Raw genomic sequence first — 19,648 nt, forward strand, 5'->3', positions numbered from 1 at the left:
GCAGTGAGTCAAGATTGCGCCACTGCACTCCAGCCTAGGTGACAGAGGGAGACTCTGTCTCCAAAAAAAAAAAAAAAAAAAAAAAATCTATCTATCTATATATATAGTCATACCCAGGGAATTTAATATTGATGCAATAATATCCAATATATAGTCTATATAAAAATGTCTTAAATTATTCCCTAAACATCCCTTATAGCCTTTAAAAAAAAAATCCAGTATCGTTGGCCAGGTGCGGTGGCTCACGCCTGTAATCCCAGCACTTTGGGAGGCCGAGGCGGGTGGATCACCTGAGGTCAGGAGTTCATAGACCAGCCTGGCCAACATGGCGAAACCCTGTCTCTACTAAAAATACAAAAAATTAGCTGGGCGCTGTGGTGGGCGCCTGTAATCCCAGCTACTTGGGAGGCTGAGGCAGGAGAATTGCTTGAACCTGGAAAGTGGAGGTTGCAGTGAGCCGATATCGCGCCACTGCACTCCAGCCTGGGCAACAGAGCAAGACTCCATCTAAGAAATAAATAAATAAATAAATAAAATAAAATAATTTTAAAAATCCAGCATCAAGTCAAGGGTCACATGATCCATTTAGTTGTCACATCTCTTTAATCTTCTTTATTCCAGAACAATCTCTCAATCATTTTGGTCTTTCATGGCCTTGGCATTTTTGAAACATTCAGGCCAGCTGTCTTGTATGGAATCTGTTCTCCACATAGCAACCAGAGGAATTCTTGTAAAACCAAGTCAGATCACGTCACTCCTCTGCTCAAAATCCTCAGCAGGTGCCCGACTCGCCAGAGCAGGAGCCAAAGTCCTTCCCAAGTCCTGCATGTGTTCACACCACACTCTCCTCCTGGCCTCCACTCCTCCTCCTTCCCTCCTGCTCACTTACAGGCCTCCCTGCTGCTCCTGAGCACATCAGGCAAGCTCCTGTCTTAGGATTCTGTTCTCTAGGAGAATGCTCTTTCCAGGAAATCTGCTTAGTTCAATCTCTCACCTCCTTTAAGGTTTCACTCACATGCCACCTTCTCAATGAGGCCCAGCCTGTTTCGTTTTTTTTTTTTCACAGGGTCTCACTCTGGCCCAGGCTGGAGTGCAGTGGTGCCATCTCAGCTCTTTGCAGCCTCTGCCTCCTGGGCTTAAGTGATACTCCCACCTCAGCCTCCCAAGTAGTTGGGATTACAGATGTGCACCACCACATGTGGCTAATTTTTGTATTTTTAGTAGAGACAGGGTTTTGCCGTGTTGCCCAGGCTGGTCTCGAACTCCTGACCTCAAGTGATTTGCCTGCCTCCGCCTCCCAAACTACTGGAGTTACAGGCGTGAGCCACCACACCCAGACAATTAGTGCCTTTATAGGAAGAGGAAGACAGAGGGAGGGAGGGAAAGAGACTAGGGGGTGGGGGGCAGATCACCTGAGGTCAGGTGTTCGAGACCAGCCTGGCCAACATGGCCAAATTCTGTCTCTACTAAAAATACAAAAATTAGCCGGGTGTGGTGACACGTGCCTGTAATCCCAGCATTTTGGGAGGCTGAGGCAGGTGGATTGCTTGAGTCCAGGACTTCATGACCAGCCTGACCAACATGGTGAAACCCTATCTCTACTAAAAATACAAAAATTAGGCAGGCATAGTGGCACATACCTGTAATCCTGGCTACTTGGGAGGCTGAGGCAGTGAGCCAAGACCATGCCACTGCACTCTAGCCTGGGCAACAGAGCGAGACTCTGTCTCAAAAATAAATAAATACATAAAAAGAGAGAGAGAGAGGGCTCAATCTTGCTGTCACCACAGCAGCATGGGGGGAAAGTCTTGTAAGAACACAGAGAGAAGGGCAAGTCAGGAGGAGAGGCTTCTTGAATTTTCTGGCACCTCGATCTTGGATGTCCTGTCTCTAGAACTGTAAGTTTTAGTTGTTTAAGCTTCTCATCCTAAGGTGCCTTGTTATGGCAGCCTGAGCTGCGACATTCACTGTTACTCATTATCAGTGGCTGCTGGGAGCCCATCCAAGCTGGCTCCTGTGGCCTTTGAGTTTTCCTCATTATTCTTTCAACTTCCCTTGCTTTCTGGCACAAAATAGCTCTGGCTCATCTTGTACTCTCTATGACCCAGCCCTGGAATCAGGCCCTTGACCAAAGAGCCTTGGTTCCTTTTTGTGAAACATGGTGTTTCAAAGCCAAGCCCTGGCTGCTGGGTGAGCTCATTGCTGTTGGCATATCACTGCGCCCAGGCTGGTGGACACGCACATTTATAACTATATTTATTTCTAGATCTACCCGTATATTTTGAAATCCATGAGTTCACACTGATTCTTACAATTCTAATTCAGCGCCACAGGGTCCACTCTGGTTCTCTCCCTTTCCATATTTGTAATTCTCTCCATCAATAGTGAGAAAGCGGCCAGGCACGGTGGCTCACACCTGTAATCTCAGCACTTTGGGAGGCTGAGGCAGGCGGATCATGGGGTCAGGAGATCGAGACCATCCTGGCTAACACAGTGAAAACCTGTCTCTACTAAAAATGCAAAAAATTAGCCGGCATGGTGGCACATGCCTGTAGTCCCAGTTACTCAGGAGGCTGAGGCAGGAGAATTGCTTCAACCCAGGAGGCAGAGGTTGCAGTGAGCCAAGATGGAGGCATTGCACTCCAGCTTGGGTGACAAAGCAAGACTCCATCTAAAAAAAAAAAAAAGTGAGAAAGCTGCCTTCCACTGTCCTTAATCTACCTACTTTTTTTTTTTTTTTTTTTGAGATGGAGTCTCACTCTTGTTGCCCAGGCTGGAGTGCAGTGGTGTGCTCTCAGCTCACTGCAACCTCCACCTCCTGGGCTCAAGGGATTCTCCTGCCTCAGCCTCCAAGTAGCTGGGATTACAAGTGTGCACCACCACGCCCAGCTAATTTTTTTTTTTTTTTTTTTTTGAGACAGAGTCTTGCTCTGTCACCCAGGCTGGAGTGCAGTGGCAGGATTTCGGCTCACTGCAAGCTCTGCTTCCTTGGTTCACGCCATTCTCCTGCCTCAGCCTCCTGAGTAGCTGGGACTACAGGCGCCTGCCACCACGCCAGGCTAATTTTTTTTTGTATTTTTAGTAGAGATGGGGTTTCACCATGTTGGCCAGGCTGCTTTCGAACTCCTGACCTCAAGTGATCCACTTGCCTCGGCTTCCCAGAGTGCTGGGATTATAGACTGTGAGCCACCGCACCTGACCTACTTACTTGTTTGATCAACCCCCTCTGTGTACCCAGTGTTCCACTGCCACTCCCTTCCACACACAGAACCCTCTTCACTCCATCCTTGACCTAATGCCCCCTGCCAGGATGCCCCAAATCATGTGCATGGCCTATTCGCTCTACTCAAGCTCTGATGCCTCACACAAACCTTCACCAATTTGGATGCCTCCTTACTCTGGTGAGGTCCCAATGGCCCACGCCAGGCTGCCCCTCCTTGGGCTTGGTCTCTGACACTTCAAAACAACCCAACCCCATGTGTGGATTCTGTCCTCTCTCCACACAGGTTCTGACCTCTCACCCCAGGCCTTGCCCTGTGTGGACACTCTTCAGCCTGCTTAGATTCCAGTGCCTCACACCAGGTCACCCCTCCACACAGATGCTTGTCTTGCTCTGTCCCACTTAATGGTTTTAGAACTGGTTTAGGGAAGGGGGTGAACATGAGGAAGAGGGACCAGGCTCTACTCTTTTTTCTTTTTTGAGATGGAGTCTCGCTCTGTTGCCCAGGCTGGAGTGCAATGGCACAATCTCAGCCCACCACAACTGCCACCTCCCAGGATCAAGCGATTCTCCTGCTTCAGCCTCCGGAGGAGCTGGGATTACAGGCGCCCACCACCGCGCCCAGCTAATGTTTGTATTTTTAGTAGAGACGGGGTTTCACCATGTTGGTCAGGCTGGTCTCGAACTCCTGACCTCAGGTGATCCAACCTCCCCTCTGCCTCCCAGAGTGCTGGGATTACAGGTGTGAGCCACTGCGCCAGGCCTCTACTCTTATTTTTTTTTTTTTGAGACAGAGTATTGCTCTGTCCCCCAGGCTGAAGTGCAGTAGTATGATCTTGGCTCACTGCAACCTCTGCCTCCCAGGTTCAAGAGATTCTCCTGCTTCATCCTCCCGAGTAGCTGGGACTACAGGTGTGTGCCACCATGCTGACTAATTTTTGTATTTTTTTTTTTCTAGAGACAGGGTTTTGCCATGTTGTACAGGCTGGTCTTGAACTCCTGGGTTCAAGTGACCCACCCACCTCGGCCTCCCAAAGTGCTGGAATTACAAGCAGGAACCACTGCACACAACCAGGCTCTACTCTTTATTGTTACAAAGAACTTATCACATTATATGAGCCTGCTAGGACTGTCATTAGGCAGGTGAGGCCTTTGGGAGGCAATTAGGTCATGAGGGTGGAGCCCTTATATATGGGATTAGTGCCCTTATTAAGGGACTGTGCCTGGCATGGTTGTTCTCGCCTGTAATCCCAGCACTTTGGGAGGCCAAGACAGGTGGATCTTTTGAGGTCAGGAGTTAGAGACCAGCCTGGCCAACTTGGAGAAACCCTGTCTCTACTAAAAATAGAAAAATTAGCCAGGCATGTTGATGCGTGTCTGTAATCCCAGCTACTCAGGAGGCTGAGGCAGGAGAACTGCTTGAACCCGGGAGGCGGAGGTTGCAGTGAGCTGAGATCTCACCACTGCACTCCAGCCTGGGCGACAGAGTGAGACCCTGTCTCAAAAAGAAAAAAAAAAAAGGAATGCAGAGAACTTCCTTGTCCCTTCCACCATGCAAGAACACAGCAAGAAAACTCAATCTGTGAGCAAGAATGTGCGCCCTCACCAGACACCCAATCTGCAGGTGCCTTGATCTTGGACTTCCCAGCCTCCAGAACTGTGACATATCAATTCCTGTTGTTTACAAGCCACCCAGTCTGTTTCGTTACAACAGCCCAAACGGACTAAGCCTTCAACATGGGAATCTGGGGGGACACGATTCGTCTATAGCAGCTTCCCACCAGGCTTTCCAAACTGTGTGTTTCCTGTTTATCATATACCCTCCCACCCACTGCACGTCAGCTTCTCACTGCAGGGATCGTGTCTCTGTGGCATCCCAAGTTCCTGGAGGGGCTGCTGGAGGCCCTTGTACATATGTGCAGAGGAAACGCTTGCGTCTGAGGAAGCTCCTGTGGGGCGCCTCACTCCCACTCTCCCCACTCCTCAGACCTTGGGCATGGAAAGTCGGAATCCCTGGGACCAGGTACAAACAGTTTATTTTTCTATAAAGAGCAAAGTACAAAGAGGCAGGGAGGGGAGCTGGGCCCAGGGGAGCAGCCCTGGGCAGGCCCCAAGGCCTTGGCTATGGTGAGGACGACCTGGCAGCTGCCCCAGGAGTAAATGGGCCTCTGGCGTGCAGTGGAGAAAGAGCAGGAGTGGCGAGGAGGAAGCCCACGCCTGCTGCCAGGAGTCATACAAAGCCAGGCTTCATGGATGAGCGGCGGCAGTTGGGACAGCTCCGGGTCCCGTTGTTCTGCAGGCACCTGGGGAGGCAAAGGGCCCTGTCCACTCCCCTGAGGCCTGTCCTTCCCTCCGGGCCCTCTCTTCCTTCCTTGCCTGCCCTCTGCAGGGGCTGGGATGCATCCTGGTGGCTGTTCAGCAGCAGTGGAAGGGAAGGGAACGGTCCCCCCAGGCTCCCACTGCACCCGGCTTGCCCCTCTCCTCCTCTGCCCCAGGGACCTCCAGGGCAGAGCAGGGGCTGGGAGTTGAGAGGATGGGATGGAACCAGACCCACGGCAGGTCTGGCCCTGGACGTCCGACCTAATGACCTTTGAGGGGCCTCTCTGACTCCTCTTTGGGGATTATGAAAAGAATGGCCACAGATCTCAGCTCACTGCAGCCTCTGCCTCCCGGGTTCAAGTGATTCTCCTGCCTCAGCCTCCCGAGTAGTTGGGATTACAGGCTCCCACCACCATGCCTGGGTAATTTTTGTATTTTTAGTAGAGACGGGGTTTCACCATGTTGGCCAAGATGATCTTGAACCCCGGGGCTCAAGTGATCAGCCCGCCTCGGCCTCCCAAAGTGCTTGCGAGACAGACGTGAGGCACCACGCCTGGCCAAGGTTAAGTGTTTGCTATTAGTATTATTGCTGTGATTAAGCCAGCTGGGCCCTAGAGTGCCCCGAAGAGATCCTGCCCACCCCTGTCCACCCCCCCAGGAGCCCCCACCTGAGGTGGAAGATGTGGGAGCAAGGTAGGGCCTGCAGCCGGCTGTTCTTCTCGCCTATGGACTCGCCGCACAGGCCGCAGTAGAGCTCCGTCTCCTCCACGCACTCGTGGAACCTCACAACGTGCGCCCGCAGTTCCCGCTGCAGCCCTTTGCTGCGGTAAATGCTCTCGCTCAGACAGTGCAGCTTGAGCTGGCTCAGCTGGGGCCCGCAGGAGTGGAGAGCGCCAGTGGGGGATGAGAACAAAGTCAGTGCAGGTAGGCTCCGGTCTCAGCCACTTCCCTGTCTTGCTGATGGACCTTGGAAAAATGTCCTGCCCTCTCTGGGACCTTGCTTCCTTTCATGCAGAATGAGGCGGTGGGTGAGATCAGAAGACTTCACCCCCCAGAACTGCCTGGAGACCCCATGTTTTTGACAGATTTTATGACCAAACCTGGTGCACAGACTCCATAATAATTTGCGGCAGGGCGCCGTGGCTCATGCCTGTAATCCCAGCACTTGGGGAGGCCGAGGCAGGTGGATCACCTGAGGCCAGGAGTTCGAGACCAGCCTGGCCAACATGGCGAAACCCCATCTCTACTAAAAATACAAAAATTAGCCGGGGGTGGTGGTGAGTGCCTGTAATCCCTGCTACTCAGGAGACTGAGGCAGGAGAATCGCTTGAACCCAGGAGGCGGAGGTTGCAGTAAGCCGAAATCGCACCACTGCACTCCAGCCTGGGCTCTAATAGTGAAACTCCGTCTCAAAAAAAAATAATAATTAATCTGCTTTCCTGTTTTTATTAATTAAATATACACACAATAGCTCATCAGCATTTCTGATCAGCCTGATACCCAGGTAAACCAGAGTGGCTATAATCCAACCAAATTTTGGCATTTTGGTTGGACTGTGCACAGGATCTCGTAGAAATGCACATCTGGAAGGCTTTGAGAAGTGGTGAACCTGTTTTCAAGATTTTAAGGTTTTAATAAGATTATGACGATTTTTTTTTTTTTTTTTTTAGATGGAGTCTTGCTCTGTCACCCAGGCTGGAGTACAGTGGCACAATCTTGGTTCATGGCAACCTCCACCTCCCGGGTTCAAGTGATTCTCCTGCCTCAGCCTCCCAAGCAGCTGGGATTACAGGCGTGCACTACCACACCTGGCTAATTTTTGTATTTTTAGTAGAGACAGAGTTTCACCATGTTGGTCAGGCTGATCTCAGGTGATCTGCCCACCTCGGCCTCCCAAAATGCAGGTGTGAGCCACCGCACCCGGCCTTGGTTTTGGTTTTTAGGCCATGCTAATCTTCTCTGTATTGTTCCAATTTCAGAATATGGGCTGCCAAAGCAAGCACTAGATACCATTATTAAATTTGGAACATGGGCTTTGTAGTTAAAACAGACAAGTTAGTAGGTGTGGGACCTTGGACGCCTCTTTGAGCCTCACTTTTCCTCATCTGTAAAATGGGGCTTGCTGTACTCACCTCACAGGGAGAGAGTGAGGACTGGACCCAGTACCCATAAGGACCCTGTGTGTGCTCAGTGCTCAGGGAGTGGAGGCCACTGTTAGTTTTTGTTTGTTTTGAGATAAGGTCTCACTCTGTTACCCAGGCTGGAGTGCAGTGGAGCAATCACAGCTCACTGCAGCCTTGACCTCCTGGGCTCAAGCTATCCTCCCACCTCAGCCTCCCAAGTAGTTGGGACCTCAGGTGTGTGCCACAACAGCTGGCTAATTTTAAAACATTTTTTGTAGAGGCCGGGCCTGGTGGCTCATGCCTGTAATCCCAGCACTTTGGGAGGCCGAGGCAGGTGGATCACCTGAGGTCAGGAGTTTCAGACAAGCCTGGCCAACGCAGTGAATCCCCATCTCTATAAAAAATACAAAAATTAGCCCAGTGTGGTGGCGGGTGCCTATAATCCCAGCTACTCAGGAGGCTGAAGCAGGAGAATCACTTCAACCTGGGAGGCAGAGGTTGCAGTAAGCTGGGATCGCGCTATTGCACTCCAGCCTGGGAGACAAGAGCAAAACTCAATCTCAAAAATGTTTTTTTCTTTTCTTTTCTTTTCTTTTTTAGAGCATGGGTCTCATTATGTAGCCCAGGCTGCTCTCGAACTTCTGGGCTCAAGTGATCCTCCTACCTCGGCCTCCCAAAATTCTAGGATTATAGATGTGAGCCACCATGTCCAGCCCACTGTTAGGGGTTTTAATCAACATCAGGAAGCTTCTGAGGAATTCTGCTATCCTCCAAGCTATGAAACTTCTGCCCTGCCCTCAGAAGTGCTGTGTGTGTGGCAGAGAAAGAGCCAGAGTATGGGGTTGGCTGCAGGCAGCTCCCAGCATCAGGAAGGGCTCATGACGTGAGTAGGCTCAGGAAGGCCCTTCCCCAGACCCAAGTTCCCCACTTGGGCCCTTGACCCCAGATCCAGGACACAGAATCAAGTCTGACCTTGTTCCCCACCTCCTCGGCCAGATCCTGGGCTCTCTCGATGGCATCCAGAGCCTGGAAGGTGAGCATAGGCCAGGGCTGCGGGCAGAGCTGTCTGACAGGCCTTGCTCACAGGGAAGCACAGGGTAGGGGGGCAGGCCTAGGGAGGGTGACATGGCAGCTGCCTTGTGTGTGAAGGCAGCAGGAAGAGACTAGGGCACAGTCATAGGGGCTGTGTGGGCAAGTGACCTCCTGCCTCAGTTTACCCAGGGTTCCAGCCCTTTACTAGCTGTGGGTCCTAGGGCAAGTGATGGGCCTTCTCTGAGCCTGGAAAATGACCAGGAATGTCCTGGCCTCGTAGGATCAGGGTGAGGCTGACGTCAGACAAAGTGGCTGAAAGAGCCGGCTAACCTACTGGCCCCAAGTGGGGAGTGCTGGGAGGGCTGGAGGCTGTGGGAAAGGCCCGACCTCACCTTGTCCAGCGCCTTCCTGGCCACCCAGCACTTGGCCACACCCAGCAGCGCCTGCACCTGCCCCAGGCGGTTTCCGATCTCGGTCATGATGCTCATGGCGGAGTCGTACCTGGGGAAGGCTGTCTGCAGAGCCAGGTGGGGGATGGAATCAGGCTGTATCAGGCCTGTGCCCCTGCCCCCTGCCCCCAGCCCCTGCATCCCGGTGACCTCACCTCCAGGTCCCCACGGCTCCGGTGGATGTCAGCGAAGCAGAGCAGGCAGAGCGCCTGCAGTGGCCGGTCCCCGTGCTGCAGCGCGATCTTCATAGACTCCTGCGAGGGAGGCCAGTGGCTCAGGCCTACTCCTCTGCCACCACCACTGGAGTGCCCTCCCCTCAACAGACCCCTCTGAAGGGACAGCCCAGGGAAGCAACATCCTCAGAGCCTAGTGAATCTATCATGGTGCTGAGGGCTCACACACTGAACCACTGAAGTCACAGCACCCAGCAAGGTGGGTGGAAAGTGAGGCTCAAAGAGAAGTGACTTGATTGGGGTCACCCAGTAAGTGACAAAGCTGGGATGTGAACCCAGGTCAGTGGGACTCCAGAAACTGGCCCTCTTCCGTCTCTACCCTTCAAAGTACCCCATATAGGGTGTTGGGGCAGAAGGAAGCCCCCTCCCCTGCAGATGGATTGGAAGGGAGTGGGTTTGGGATGAGGCTGGGGGACAAATGTTTCCTTCAGGGGTTCAGCTGTAGAGAACTCATCTCATTTAAAAAATAAAAACTGGGCCAGGCACAAGTGGCTCATGCCTGGAATCCCAGCACTTTGGGAGGCCAAGACACGAGGATCGCTTCAGCACAGGAGGGTGGTTTAGTGAGACCCCGTCTCTACAAAAATAAAATTAGCTGTGCATGGTGGTGCACGCCTTTAGAGAGGCTGGGCCAGAGGCAAGCCCTAGGGGGCTTCCATGGGCTGATTTGGAAGAAGGAAGCCCTGCTGTCCCAGGCCCCAGCCCCTGGCCCACACCACCTCATCCCCGACCTGCCCCCTTCCCCGCTGCCCCACCTCACAACACTCCATGGCACTGCCCAGGCGGCCCAGCAGGCGATAGGCCACGGCCATGTGGTACTGGCTCATGGCCCGGTACTTCAGGCTCCAGCCTTTGCCATAGTTGTTGACAAGCTCTGCCGCCTTGCAGGGGAAGAACAGGGCTTTCTCGTAGTCCTGCAGGGGACATGGAATGGAAGGAGGCAAACTGAGTGGCAGAGGCTGCCCCAAGTCAAGGGCTCCTGGGCTAGGTTTCTCTAACAGCAGGTAGGGGCAGGGGGCCCGAGTGTCTGCTCATTCATTGTGACATCCAGGACAAGAGTGGCCCGGTAGAGGGAACAGCCAGTGCAAAGGTGTCGCTCTGTGGACTCAGGGATTCTCATCTGGTTTGTGACGCATCCCAAGAGCCTAGCACAGTTCTTGGCACTTGGTAGATGCACAATAAATATTTGTTGAGTGAATGAATGAAAAGACAAGAAAACACAGTTGGCTTCTCTTTTCTCCCAATGCCAAATGGGCTCCTCAGCTTCAGAGATGCACAGGGATGGGAGATACCAGATCCCTCCACTAGAGCTTGCCTGCTGGCACCCGGAAGCAGGTGTTCACTGAAGCTCAGTGGCAGACTGGCAGCACAACAGGCTCAAAAGAACATCAGACAGACTCAGCGAGGCGATGCAACCATTGGCTTGTACTTTTTCCTCAAGCTTCCAAATGCATTTTCTACCTGCTCATGGTCAGCTGATGACCTCGCCTCAACTCCACGAGGAAAAGGAAGAAAATCAGGGAGAAGCTCCTTCCCCTCCTGTCTCCACCAGATCTCCCATCTCCGCACCTCTGCTCCCACGCTCCCTGCCTCCTTTCCTGTCACTGTGGAGGATGGCTCCTGTTCCCATCAAATGCCAGCCTCCGATGAGCAGTCTCTGCATCGTCAGGTCCTCTCTTTCTACAGAATCTTTCCCATCCACGTGCAAACATGTCTGGCATTTCTCATCTCATTTAAAAAATAAAAACTGGGCCAGGCACAGTGGTTCACGCCTGGAATCCCAGCACTTTGGGAGGCCAAGACAGGAGGAACGCTTGAGCATAGGAGTTGGAGAATGGCCTGGGCAACTTAGTGAGACCCTGTCTCTACAAAAATAAAATCAGCTGTGCATAGTGGTGCACGCCTGTAGTTCCAAGCTACTCAAGAGGCTGAGGTGGGAGAATCACTTGAGCACAGGAGGTCGAGGATATGGTGAGCTGAGATTGCACCACTGCACTCCAGCCTGGGTGACAGAGGCAGACTCTGTCTCACAAAAAAAAAAAAAAAAAAAAAAAAAAAAGAAAAGAAAAGAAAAGAAGGAAAGAAAAAAGAAAACTAACCCACCTTCTCGTGACGTCATTTCCCTTCAGCTAAAGCCCCATTTCACTGTTCTTTTTCAAGGTAAATCTATTTGATCTTTCACTTAATATTTAACAAGCAGCTCCAAGTTAACATGACCAAAAGAGAAGTGTCAATAACCCCCCCAAAAAACCCTTTTCCTAATATGCCTTATTACATACTTTTGAAGCCACATAAATGTTTTACAGATTAAAAAATTAAATTTAATTTGAAAAATACCTAAAAATAGAAAATGGAGGTCAGGTGCAATGGCTCATGTCTGTAATCCCAGCACTCGGGGAAGCTGAGTTGGGAGAACAGCTTGAGGCCAGGAGTTCAAGATCAGCCTGGGCAACATTGCAAGACCACTGTCTCTACAAAAAATTTAAAAATTAGCCAGATGTGGAAGAATGTGCCTGTAGTCCCAGCTACTCAGGAAGCTGAGGAGGGAGGATCGCTTGAACACAGGAGTTTTAGGTTACAGTGAACCGTGATTGAGCCACTGCACTCCATCCTGGGTGACAGAGCAAGATCCTGTCTCAAAAAAAAACAAAAACAAAAACAAAAACAAAAACCTAAGGCTGGGTGCAGTGGCTCACACCTGTAATCCCAGCACTTTGGGAGGCCAAGATGGGCAGATCATGAAGTCAGGAGATCGAGACCATCCTGGCTAATATGGTGAAACCCCATCTCCACTAAAATACAAAAAAACTAGCTAGGTGTGGTGACAAGTGCCTGTGGTCCCAGCTACTTGGGAGGCTGAGGCAGGAGAATCACTTGAATCTGGGAGACAGAGGTTGCAGTGAGCCGAGATCGCGCCACTGCACTCCAGCCTGGGCAACAGAGCAAGACACTGTCTCAAAAAAAAAAAAAAAAAAAAAAGTAAATAAATGTCCCTAACTGTGTGTCATATTACTACAACCACACACACAAATAATTATTTTGGCCGGGCGCAGTGGCTTATGCCTGTAATCCCAGCACTTTGGGAGGCCAAGGCGGGTGGACTACAAGGTCAAGAGATCCAGACCATCCTGGCTAACATGGTGAAACCCCGTCTCTACTAGAAATACACACACAAAAAAAATTAGCGGGGCGTGGTGGCAGGCGCCTGTAGTCCCAGCTACTCGGGAGGCTGAGGCAGGAGAATGGCGTGAACCCGGGAGGCGGAGGGTGCAGTGACCGAGATCGTGCCACTGCACTCCAGCCTGGGTGACAGAGTAAGACTCCGTCTCTAAAAAAAAATATATATATATTATTTCAATGACTTTGGAACAAAAGTACTCAGTTTACCCATAGTGGGATACATTACAAAAACAAGGCTGGGCACAGTGGCTCACACCGGTAATCCCAGCACTTTGGGAGGCTGAAGCGGGTGGATCACCAGGTCAAGAGATTGAGACCATCCTGGCCAACATGGTGAAACCCCGTCTCTACTAAAAATACAGAAAATTAGCTGGGCATAGTGGCGTGTGCCGGTAGTCCCAGCTACTCGGGAGGCTGAGCCAGGAGAATCGCTTGAACCCGGGAGGCAGAAGTGGCAGTGAGCCGAGATCGAGCCACTGCACTCCAGCCTAGGCAACAGAGCGAGACTGTCTCAAAAAAAAAAAAAAAAAAAAAAGCCAAAAGAACAGCAAAGAAATCTTAAACTTCATTCAGTTGTCTTTATTTTCTAGAGTAATATTGGTATTGTCTTTTGGAATTATTTTACGTATTTTGTAGGGTAAAGCAAATATTTAATTATGTGGTTAGAAACTAAGATTTTTCATCTAAGAGAAAAGACAATCAAGTTTAAAATAAGTTAAGGGGAGCTCCTGAAACATTAGATTTGAATTGGAAATGTCAGTATAAACTTCCATTATTCTGATAACTGAAAAGATTTAGAAGCACGGACATCCCACTAGCAATGAACACCCCACAAGCCCACACTTGGGCTTTTTTTTTTTTTCTCTCACACAGGGTCTTGCTCTGTTGCCCAGGCTGGAATGCAGTGGAACACTCATGGCTCACTGCAGCCTCAAACTCCTGGGCTCAAGCGATCCTCCCGCCTCAGCCTCCTGAGTAGCTGAAACAATAGGTGTGAGCCACCATGTCTGGTTCATTTTTAAAGTTTGGTGCAGATGGGGTCTTGCTATGCGACTCAAGCTGCTCTCAAACTCCTGGGCTCAAGCAATCCTTCTGCTTGGCCTCTCAAAGTGCTCAGATTATAGGCATGAGCCTTGCCAAATTAAAAAAAAAAAAAAACTGTTTGTAGACGCTGGTCTGGAACTCCTGGTCTTGAGCGATCCTCACCCCTCAGCTTCTCAAAGTGCTGGGATTACAAGTGTGAGCCACCAGGCCTAGCTTACTTTTCTTCAGAATTAAAAAGGTTTTTAAAAACCCCTGTCCTGCCCCAGTCCTATCTCATCTCACTGAATGGCTCCCCCTTACATCTGCTTCCTAAAAACAAAGTCCTGGCTGTCATCCTTGGTGACTCGTTTCCTCCCATCCCACCTTGGATCCATCAGCATTTATCCACTCACTAACTCCAAGATTTATTAAGCATCTACTGGGGCCAGGCATTAAATCCCCCATGGACCAAGCACAGCACAGATACCTGAGGGGAAAGGGAACAAAAATACCCAGGGTTGGCCGGGTGCGGTGGCTCACGCCTGTAATCCCAGCACTTTGGGAGGCCAAGACGGGCGGATCCCTGAGGTCAGGAGTTCAAGACCAGCCTGGCCAACATGGTGAAACCCCATTTCTACTAAAAACACAAAAATTAGCCGGGCGTGGTGGTATACGCCTGTAGTCCCAGCTACTTGGGAGGCTGGGGCAGGAGAATCGCTTGAACCCAGGAGGCGGAGGTTGCAGTGAGCCGAGATGGCACCACTGCACTCCAGCCTGGGTGACAAGAGCAAAACTCCGCCCCTGCCCCCGCCAAAAAATACCCAGGATCAGAACCTGCTGTGGCTGATCCTATCAGTTCCTTCACAGTTGGCCCTCCTCCTCTCACCTCCCTACCTCCGCACACACCTGAGACACGCCTGGCAGCCATGCTGGCCTCTGTCCTTCCTGGAACATTCCAGGAAACATTCCAGGATGCTCCCCCAGGGTCCAGCTTGGCTTTAGGGGCTCGCCCATTTTTGCCTAGAATGCTCTCTCACCAGATTTTTGCATGGCACACCCTCTCTTCTTCAAGCCATCAAACATCACCTCTGCGAGGCCCTCCGACCACTATATTTGAAATTATGACACCCCCACGCCCAGTGCTGCCAGCCCTTTGCCCCGCTTCGCTTTCTCCTAACCACTTGACTTCCTGACTGTGTTGATCGTCTTTCTTCTCCAACTAGAATGCAACCCTCGTGAGGACGGGGACTTGGCTGTTTTTCTCACTGCTACACCCTGGGTCAACAGTCTTGGGATACAGTAGCTGGTCAATAAATATTTGATGACTGACTCCATACAACCCCACTGTAAGGTGAGTCCTATTCTCCTTCATTTTACAGATCTCTCCCAAGGTTCAGAGAGGATAGGTGACTTGCCCAAGACCACACAGCAAACATGGCAGTGCAGGCCGCTGGCCTGTCCTCACAGAGGAGCCTCCCATTATTCCTCCAGGAAGTCACACAGATCAAGGTTTGAATCCTGGCTCTGCCCTTGCTGGCTTCCTGGCCAAGTTGTTACCTTCCTGGATAAGCCTTTTTGCTCTCTGATTCTCACTCTCCTCAGCCCTCCCTAAAAGGAGGGCTGAATGAGGTAGTGCCACAGGGTGTGTGCCTCATGAGAGGGGAGCCCCAAAACCCTCCACTGCTGTCCCCCTGGGGTGCAGGCCCACCTTGACCTGGGCATAGAAGCTGCCCAGGCTGCAGCACACGCGGCACTCGAGCATGGCGTCATCATTGTTGTGGGCATAGCGCAGGGCCTTCTCGAAGCTCTCCAGGGCCTTCTGGAAGACGCTGAGGCCCAGGAAGGCATTGCCCATGCTCAGGCTGACCTGGCCTCCGAGCTGGGCACCTGCCCTGGTACCAGGCAGCCCAAGGCAGGTCTTGCAGTAGGAGATGGTCTTGTGAAACTCGCACAGCTTCTCGTTGCTGCGTGCCAGGTTCAGGTAGCTCTCCAGGAGGAAGTCGGCATCCTCCAGCTCCCGGGCCGTGTCGATCTGGACCACAGCGAACTGCACACAGCGACGGTGGGCAGGTGGTGCTCAGCCTGGACTCTGAGCCTTGGACCCCAGCCTGCACTGCAGGCTCAGACCTGGAGGCCCCACACCCACCCCCCAGCCTCACACCCAAAGCAGCAGATCCCAAAGCTTCTTTTCAGACCCAGAGCTTCTACCCGCCAGCCTCAGCTACCTTCCCTACACCCCAGCCTCACCTCCCAAGCTCAGGCTTGCAGCCTTCACCTTCTATCCCAAGCCTCAGATCTGGAGTCTCCACCACCCACCCACCCCCAGCCGCAACCCTGGAGCCCACACCCCGCCAGGCTCAGACACAGAACACCAGACAGGAAGGCTGAAACCTACAATGGGCTTGAGACCCACAAACCCTCGACCCTGAGGCTGGAGAACCTCAGTCTCAGAGACTCGGGCACCACAGTTCAAGGCCACAGGCCTGAATCTGATGCCAAGACTCAGTATCTAAGACCCAGGGCCTTAGATATAAATTCAGAGCCTCGGGCCCTGGCTGCCAGCCTGTGGGACACAGGGGAGCCCGAGGAGGCCGAGAGGGGACTGGGGAGCCTGGGAGACATCCGGCCCCAGCCTGACCCTCGAACGCCCCCAGGCCGGGTACACCCACCTTCAGCATCTCCTTGTAGCGGCCCATCTCCGAGTGGGCTGTGACCAGGCAGCCCAGCACGCGGAAGCGCCCCATGAGGTCCGAGCTCTTCTCCAGCACCTTTGTCCACACCTGCAATGCCTTCTCTGTCTGGTTGGACTGGTACAGCTGGAGCCCCTTCTCGATCTGCTGCTTGGTCTGGTCCTGCCCCATCCTCCCCAAGCCCTGTGTCCCACGTGGGGTGATCCCTGGTGGCTCCGTGCCTCTAGGCACTCATGGGGCAGGAATCACAGTGCCAGCTGCCCCCCGAAACGTGGGAACAAAAGCAGCGTCGGGTGGGAGCCGGAATGGGGCCTGGATGGAGAGCAGGCGCCACCCTGGGAACAAAGCTGGTTCAGCCCGTCTGCAGCTGTCGCTGCCAGTTGGGGCCACATGGCCTCTGAGGAATGTCAGCAGCAAGGTCACGTGGGCCTCTGCTGCACCCACCCGCGAGCTGGGACGTGGCTTCCCTGAGCATACAGGCACCTTGCCACCTGGGCACCCCCTTGGGCGTCCCTTAGGCACCTCTGACACTGACCCTGACCGCCCTGGCAGCACGGGCCCTCCCAGCAGCCTTGCCAAGGGGCCAGCTCCAGCAAGTGGGCAGGCCTTGGGCTAGAGGTGCTCGGGGGAAGGAGAGCGAGGCTGGACCTGCAGGTCCGGGGAAGCCAGGTGAGCGCCCAGCCCTGCTTCTTCCCCATCAAGACACCCCTGACCGCAGCATCCCCTGGCTCTGTTCCTGAAATTCACTGAGCACCGTGGGTCACTCATCCAGGCCCAGGCTGACACCATTCACCAACTCTCACCTTAGAGAGTCTGGGAAAGACCTCCAGCTGGTGAGAGGCCTGAGCTCTAGCCTGGCTTCCTTCGAACTCTCAGTGGGACCCTAGCCAAGTGACCTGGCACCGTGGACTGAAGAGAGGAATGGTACCTGGCTCACTGGACTGCTATGAGAACTCAATGACGAAAGAGTTGAGAAGGACTTAGGACAGTGCCCGGCACAGGAAACCCCGCATGTGCTGCAAGAGGCTATTTTGCTCCATGGCAAATCCCCACCCGGGCCAGAACCCAGCCCTTGAAGTTTCAATGTCTCACTTCCAATCCCAACCCCGGGCTGAAAGGGTCCTCATAATGAGATTTAACACCAGATACTGTGGAGAAGGGCAAGGTCTTATGTAGTATTGGGGCCCCCGCTAGCAGGCCAGCTCATCCAGCCCCCCTTTCTCCTCTCTCTGCATGCCAGCCTTCTTCCTGCCCCAGGGCAAAAGTTTATCCTTTCTGGCTGGGCAATTCAGTGGTTTTTAGTATATTCACAGAGATGCACATTAATTGCCACTAATTCCAGAACATTTTAACCACCCCAAAAAGGAGACGCACACCCATCAGCAGTTACACCACTCCATTCCCCACCTTGATATGACTGAATCATGTCCCCCCGCAACCAAACGCATATGTTTAAGTCCTAACACTCAGTATCTCATAAGGTGACTGTCTTTGGAGACAGGGTCTTTAAAGGGTGATTAAGGTAAAATGAAGTCACATTGTACCTCATCCAGTTAAGACTGGTATCCCCCCCCCCTTTTTTTTGAGACAGGGTCTCACTCTGTCACCTAGGCTGGAGTGCAGTGGTGCAGTCACAGCTCACTGCAACCTCTACCTCCTAGGCTCAAGTGACCCTCCCACCTCAGTCTCCTGGGTAGCTGAGACCACAGCTGTCTAGTTTTTGTAGAGATGGGTTTCACCATGTTGCCCAGGCTGGTCTTGAACTCCTGGAGGTGGAGGTTTCAGTGAGCCGTGATTGTGCCACTGCACTCCAGCCTGAGCACCAGAGCAAGACCTTGTCTCAAAAAATAAATAAACAATAAATTTTTATTTTTAAAAATTATTTTTGAGACGGAGTTTTGCTCTTGTTGCATAGGCTGGAGTGCAGTGGCACAATCTCAGCTCACTGAGACTTCTACCTCCCGGGTTCAAGCAATTCTCCTGCCTCAGCCTCCCAAGTAGCTGGGATGACAGGTGTATGCCACCACGCCTGGCTAAGTTTTTGTATTTAGTAGAGACGGGGTTTCACCATGTTGGTCAGGCTGGTCTTGAACTTCTGACCTCAGTTGATCCACCTGCCTCAGAGCCTCCCGAAGTATTGGGGTTATAGGCGTGAGCCACCATGCCTGACCACAATACTTTTTTTTTTTTTTGAGACACTTTCCCTCTGTCACCCAGGCTGGAGTGTGGTGGTGCCATCTTGGCTCACTGCAACCTTCACCTCCCAGGTTCAAGTGATTCTCCTGCCTCAGCCTCCTGAGTAGCTGGGATTACAGCTGCGCACCACCACACCTGGCTAATTTTTGTATTTTTAGTAGAGACGGGGTTTCACCATGTTGGTCAGGCTGGTCTGGAACTCCTGACTTCATGATCTGCCCACCTCTGCCTCCCAAAGTGTTGGGATTACAGGCGTGAGCCCCCGCACCTGGCCCACAATAAATGTTTAAAAAGGACACAGTCACACAGAAGAAGAGCACGTGAAGACACAGGGAGAAGATGGCTATCTACAAGCCCAGGAGCAAGGCCTTAGAATGAAACCAACTCTGCCAATTCCTTGATCTTGGACTTCTAGCGTCCAGAACTGTGAGAAAATAAATTTCTGTTATTTAAGCCACCTGGTGTCTATGGACCTGTCTATTGTGGACCCTTCACAGGAATGGAATCATACAATATGTGGTCATCTGTGACTGGCTTCTTTAACTTGGCATAATGTTTTCAAGATTCAACTATGTTTTCAACCGTATCAGAACTTCATTACTTATTGTGGTTGGTTAATACTCATTGTCTGGATATACATTTTGTTGATTCAGCAGTTAATAGGCATTTGGGTTGTTTCATTTTTGGCTACTATGAATAATGATGCTATAAAAATTCATGTACAAATTGGGCTGGGCACGGTGGCTCACGCCTGTAATCCCAGCACACTAGGAGGCTGAAGCAGGCAGATCACTTGAGCCCAGGAGTTGGAGACCAGCTTGGGAAACATAGCGAGACCCCATATCTACAAAAAATACAAAAAAAAAAAAAAATTAGCTGGGTGTGGTGGTGCACAGCTGTGGTCCCAGCTACTCGCGAGGCTGAGGCAGGAGAATCGCTTGAGCCTACAAGCTTGGACTGCAGTGAGCCGCAATCATGTCACTACACTCCAGCCTGGGTGACAGAGCGAGACCCTGTTTCAAAAAAATAAAAAATTCATGTACTAGGTTTTATGGGGACATGTTTTCATTTCTCTTAGGTATATGCTTGGAGCAGAAGTGTGAGTAATATGGCAACTGTTACATTCTGGTACCTGCCTACCTGTCTGCCCCAGGGCCTTTGCACCTCCTAATTCCTTCTCTGT

The 19,648-nt window shown here is 51.9% G+C and overlaps 1 protein-coding gene, 1 long non-coding RNA gene and 1 pseudogene across 18 annotated transcripts; 1 reads left to right on the forward strand and 2 right to left on the reverse strand.

The window, feature by feature from the left end:
• On the forward strand, positions 5,100-14,913 carry LOC124902673 (uncharacterized). Its single transcript, XR_007062669.1, has 2 exons — positions 5,100-5,243; positions 14,803-14,913. It is a non-coding gene; the product is annotated as an uncharacterized LOC124902673 (long non-coding RNA).
• RAPSN (receptor associated protein of the synapse) lies at positions 5,240-16,612 on the reverse strand. 17 transcript variants are annotated; one of them, NM_005055.5, is made up of 8 exons: positions 16,249-16,612; positions 15,288-15,626; positions 10,132-10,290; positions 9,299-9,397; positions 9,087-9,209; positions 8,635-8,688; positions 6,208-6,407; positions 5,240-5,523 (listed from the first exon to the last, which is right to left on the reverse strand). In NM_005055.5, exons 1-8 carry the CDS (start codon positions 16,438-16,440, stop codon positions 5,451-5,453), a joined length of 1,239 nt encoding a protein of 412 aa, NP_005046.2. In that variant the 5' UTR covers positions 16,441-16,612; the 3' UTR covers positions 5,240-5,450. The 17 variants fall into 17 exon arrangements, with proteins under 17 accessions (NP_005046.2, NP_001427419.1, NP_001427420.1 ...); NM_001440490.1 differs by having other exon boundaries at positions 6,208-6,543; NM_001440491.1 differs by having other exon boundaries at positions 8,635-8,773.
• On the reverse strand, positions 7,482-7,542 carry LOC124902820 (uncharacterized; annotated as a pseudogene).

The sequence above is a fragment of the Homo sapiens genome, chromosome 11 (assembly GCF_000001405.40).
Source record: "Homo sapiens chromosome 11, GRCh38.p14 Primary Assembly".
NCBI lineage: Eukaryota > Metazoa > Chordata > Mammalia > Primates > Hominidae > Homo > Homo sapiens.

What these genes read in the sequence shown, in the direction of transcription:
- RAPSN (NM_001440490.1), bottom strand. Translation starts at nt 16,440, where the DNA reads ATGGGGCAGGACCAGACCAAGCAGCAGATCGAGAAGGGGCTCCAGCTG. An exon ending in GCTTCTATGCCCAGGTCAAG is followed by an intron (nt 10,291 to 15,287) that starts GTGGGCCTGCAC and finishes TGTCCCCTGCAG; the next exon opens with GACTACGAGAAAGCCCTGTT. An exon ending in GTGCCATGGAGTGTTGTGAG is followed by an intron (nt 9,398 to 10,131) that starts GTGGGGCAGCGG and finishes CCTCCCTCGCAG; the next exon opens with GAGTCTATGAAGATCGCGCT.